This window comes from Homo sapiens, chromosome 16 (assembly GCF_000001405.40).
Source record: "Homo sapiens chromosome 16, GRCh38.p14 Primary Assembly".
Lineage (NCBI taxonomy): Eukaryota > Metazoa > Chordata > Mammalia > Primates > Hominidae > Homo > Homo sapiens.
Genome location: NC_000016.10, coordinates 3206557 through 3211767, shown reverse-complemented (window position 1 = coordinate 3211767; position 5211 = coordinate 3206557).

Genomic DNA, 5211 nt, shown 5'->3' with positions numbered 1-5211 from the left:
GTAGATAAAAATATACGTGGAAGAGCAGAGACAAAAGTGTGTGAGATAGACAAAAGACAAACTGAAAAACAGAATCACTTTTTTTTTTTTTGAGACAGAGTCTTACTGTCGCCCAGGCTGTAGTGCAGTAACACAATCTCGACTCACTGCAACCTCCACTTCCCAGGCTCAAGGGATCCTCCCACCGCAGGTTCCTGAGTAGCTGGTATTACAAGAACCCACCACCACGCCCAGATTTTTTTTTGTATTTTTAGTAGAGATGCGGTTTCACCATGTTGGTCAGTCTGGTCTCGAACTCCTGACCTCAGGTGATCCGCCTACCTCGGCCTCCCCAAAGGCTGGGATTACAGGCGCCTACTTCAGCCTCCCCAAGGGCTGGGATTACAGGCGTGAGCCACCATGCCCGGCCTGTAGACTGTTCTTTCTAGGTGTTAGATTACACTCTATTTTTTTTTTATTTTTTTTAATTTTTTTTAGACAGAGTCTCACTCTGTCATCCAGGCTGGAGTGCAGCAGCGTGATCTTGGCTCACTGCAGCCTCCACCTCCCAGGTTCAAGTGATTCTCCTGCCTCAGCCTCCCAAGTAACTGGGACTGCAGGTGCCCACCACCATGCCTGGATAATTTTTTTGTATTTTTAGTAGAGACGGGGTTTCACCGTGTTAGCCAGGATGGTCTCGATCTCCTGACGTCGTGATCCACCAGCCTAGGCCTCCCAAAGTGCTGGGATTACAGGCGTGAGCCACCTTGCCTGCCCTAATTTTTTCTCACATACTGAAAGCTTTGAAAAGGAAGATCTTGATACAGAGGGAAGGAGCCCTTCATCCAAGTCAACTATTTCAGAAAGTCTGAGAGAATGAGCAAACACAAGAAAGCAGAATGAGTAATATTAGTATTAACCAAAGTATGCTTTAAGCAGAAACAAGAATTGAAGAGGACAAAGATCATTCTATTTCTAGAAGGTATTTAATATAATTTATAATGAATGGATAACATTCACCAGCCTCCAGGCCTTCTGTGTTAGTCCGTTTTCGCTGCTATAAAGAAATACCTGACTCTGGGTAATTTATAAAGAAAAGTTTTTTTGGGTCATGATTCTGCAGGCTGTACAAGAAGCATGGTGTGGGCACCTACTTCTGGTGAGGCCTCAGGAAGTTTCCAATCATGGCAGAAGGTGAAGTGGAAACAGGTGTGTCACATGAAGAGAGAGGGAATAAAAGGGAGAAGGGGAAGCTCCCAGGCTCTAACAATCAGAGCTCATGGTAACTTATTACTGTGTGGGGGGAACCAAGCCATTCATGAGGGACCCACCCCCATGACCTAAACACCACCTGCCAGGCGCCACCTCCAACACTGAGAATCACATTTCAACATGAGATTTGGTGGAGACAAACAGCCAAACCACATCACCTCCATAACCAAAGATCAAATCAAAAAGTAAAGCTGACCCGGCATGGTGGCTCATGCCTGTAATTCCAGCACTTTGGGATGCCAAGGTAGGCAGATCACTTGAGGTCAGGAGTTCAAGACCAGCCTGGCCAACATGGTGAAACCCCATCTCTACTAAAAATACAAAAATTAGCCAGGCATGGTGGTGGATGTCTGTAATCCCAGCCACTCAAGAGGTTGAGGCAGGAAAATCACTTGAACCCAGGAGGCAGAGGTTACAGTGAGCTGAGATCGTGCTGCTGCACTCCAGCCTGGGCAACAGACTGAGACTTCATCCCCCCCGCAGAAAAAAAAAGGACGTTAAAAAAAAAAAAGTAAAAGCTTACTGCAATCATTCTGTAAAGAAAAAAAGGTAAAAGCTATTAACATATAGAAAGAAAATAATTGAAATGTTAATTATTAGACTTTGCAAATCAACTAAATAAATAATAAGAAGCAGTCAGAATTCAAACATTATAATCTTCATATAGATCTATTTGGATTATATTTTACAGCTACAGCTATATCATGAGAAAAAAATATATTGAAGTCATTTCCACATAAAAAGATCCCTAGGACCCAGAGGGAATCTCAAAGGAATAAGCCTGGATCTGCTCTGGGTGTTCCTGGGGAAACCTGGTTTGACACAGTGGGACTGGAAGCCCCAGGGCCAGGGAGTGGGTGTCCATCCGGAGGCAGATTTTTTTTTTTTTTTTTGGAGACAGGATCATGCTTTGTTCCCGAGGCTGGAGTGCAGTGGCACGATCGCAGCTCACTGCAGCCTCAACTTCCTGGGCTCAAGTGATCCTCCCACCTCAGCCTCCCAAGTAGCTGGGACCACAGGTATGAGCCACCATGCCCAGTTAATTTTTTAATTTTTTGTAGAGATGGAGTCTCACTATATTGCCCAGGCTGGTCTCAAACTCCTGGGCTCAAATGATCCTCCCACCTTGGACTTTAAAGGTGTTGTGATTACAGGTGGGAGCCACCATACCCGGCCCAGAGTCAGATTTTAGTGGAGAATAACATGAGTTTGAACACAGATGGCTGTGATCTGAACCTTAGGTGGGTCCCAGTGTGGCCCCCAAAGGGATGGGCCACAGGCATCTATGTTGCAGCACACAGGCTGTCAGCTGACCAGGCATCGAAGGGCAGGGACTGCACTGTGTGCCGTAACTCACAGGATCGTGCCAGTGGATGCTTCTAGCTCCCCAGTCTCTCCCTCTCTCCACCTGACTGACTCCTCTGAGTGAACTCCTGGGGTGCTTTTTGACACCCACAGGGAGGTGCTGGACCCCCTGGTAGTAATGGCAGGGTATGGTTAGGCAGAAATTATGAATAACAAAGGAAAGGTGACATTTTTACTCCAAGCTGAAGAAATAGATCAGTCAGGCTACCTGTGGCAATAATAAACACAAACAATGATTCCCACACAAGGAAGTGTGCAGCAGTGTTTGTTATGGTACAGAAACACTTGAAATTGTTCAGAGTTGGGGAAAGGGTGAATTATATCACGTCCCTGTGATGAAATATTATGCAGCCATTAAAATCAAATTTCTGGGGTCAGGCGCAGTGGCTCATGCCTGTAATCCCAGCACTTTGGGAGGCTGAGACGGGCGGATCACAAGGTCAGGAGTTTGAGACCATCCTGCCTAACATGGTGAAACCCCATCTTTACTAAAAATACAAAAAATTAGCTGGGTGTGGTGGCAGGCGCCTATAGCCCCAGCTACTCCGGAGGCTGAGGCAGGAGAATGGTGTGAAGCCGGAGGTGGAGCTTGCAGTGAGCGGAAATCATGCCACTGCACTTCAGCCTGGGCGACAGAGCGAGACTCCATCTCAAAAAAAAAAAAAAAAAAATCACATTTCTGGGCTGAGCATGGTGGCTCATGCCTGTAATCCCAGCACTTTGGGAGGCCGATGCAGGTGGATCACGAGGTCAGCAGATGGAGACAGTCCTGGCCAACATGGTGAAACCCCGTCTCTACTAAAAATACAAAAAGTAGCTGGGCGTGGCGGTGCGTGTCTGTTGTCCCAGCTACTTGGGAGGCTGAGGCAGGAGAATTGCTTGAATCCAGGAGGCAGAAGTTGCAGTGAGTCAAGGTCGTGCCACTGCACTCCAGCCTGGTGACAGAACGCGATTCCATCTCAAAAAAAAAAAAAAAAATCACGTTTCTAAGAGCTCCACTGACATGGGAAGTAAGAAGTGGAAAATCAGAACTCAAAATTATATGCATCGATTGCAGCCAACTTTTGTAAAACAATATTCCAAGTGCCTAACTGCGATTACCTTTGAGCTGCAAGGATACAGGTTACTTTAATTTTCTTCTTTATGGTTTATGGTGTACCATAATGCATACGTAGACACTAGCTTTCAAATAACAAAATGATTTTTTGTCATTTGACCCCGCCCCCTAAGTCAGGCAGCCAATCAGGGTGCTCCTGGCCAGTTCCCACAGTTCAGCGTTGCTTCACCTCTGCACCACCTGGGCTACAAGCGGGCCAGGGCCCAAGGTTCATCTGAAATGCTTGTTACTTGCTGTAGTACTCACATTTCCCTCTGCTATTTCTTTCTTATTCTAAAGTAACATTCTCCAAATTAAAATGTATGGCAATATGCATATGCATTCACCTATATTTTTTCCTTTCAGTTAAAGTTGATGATCACCTTTGGTCTAGCAGCAGTGCTGGACACCGAGATACAAAGTGAGTCATGTGTGTATTCGGGTCTGTAGGTCTCGTAGTCTGCGGAAAGCCCTTGTGGAGAGGGAATGATAAACCAAAGAAAAACAGAGCTCTGAGAGCCGGAAGCGTGAATCCGGAGGCTTCACGGAGGAGGAGGTGGCATTGACTTGGTTCTTGAAGGTGTGGGTGGGAGCTGACTTGAGAGGAGAGACAGAGGCAGTTGGTCTGGATGGAGGGAAGACCAAATGTCGATTTGTTTCCCTGATGTCAAAGACCTGGCTCTGGCTGACCCTGCCCCCTAAGTCAGGCAGCCAATCAGGGTGCTCCTAGCCGGTTCCCAAGGTTCAGCGTCGCTTCACCTCTGCACCGCCTGGGCTGCAAGCGGACCAGGGCCCCAGGTTCATCTGAAATGCTTGTTACTCGTTGTGGTACTCACATTTCACTCCGCTCTTTCTTTCTTCCCTCCCCTCCCCTCCCCTCCCCTCCCCTCCCTTTTTTGACAGAACCTTGCTCTTTCACCCAGGCTGGAATGCAATGGCCTGATCTTGGCTCACTGCAACCTCCACCTCCCAAGTTTAAGCAATTCTCCTGCCTCATCCCCCTGAGTATCTGTGATTGTAGGCGCCTGCCACCACGCCCAGCTAATTTTTGTATTTTTAGTAGAGATAGGGTTTCACCATGTTGGCCAGGCTGGTCTTAAAGTCCTGACCTCAGGTGATCCACCTGCCTCAGCCTCCCAAACTGCTGGGATTACTGGCATGAGCCACCACACCCAGCCTCACTCTGCTGTTCTTTTGCCTGAGCATTTTTGTGACCCAGCCTTTATGCTTGACCATTGCAGAGGACACATAAAAGGAGGATGAGGCCAGTGAGTCTTCACCCGGGCTGCACAGGTGGTGCACACCTGTAGTCCCAGTTACTCGGGTGGTTGAGGCAGGAGAATAGCTTGAATCTGGGAGGTGGAGGTTGCAGGAAGCCGAGATGGCTCCACTGCACTCTACTGGGGGAACCCACCCCCAATATTTCAACATAGGTTCTTTCTATTTTCCCTAAGTGTCGGCCAGCTGAGAAATAAAGAGAAAGAGTACAAAGAGAGGAA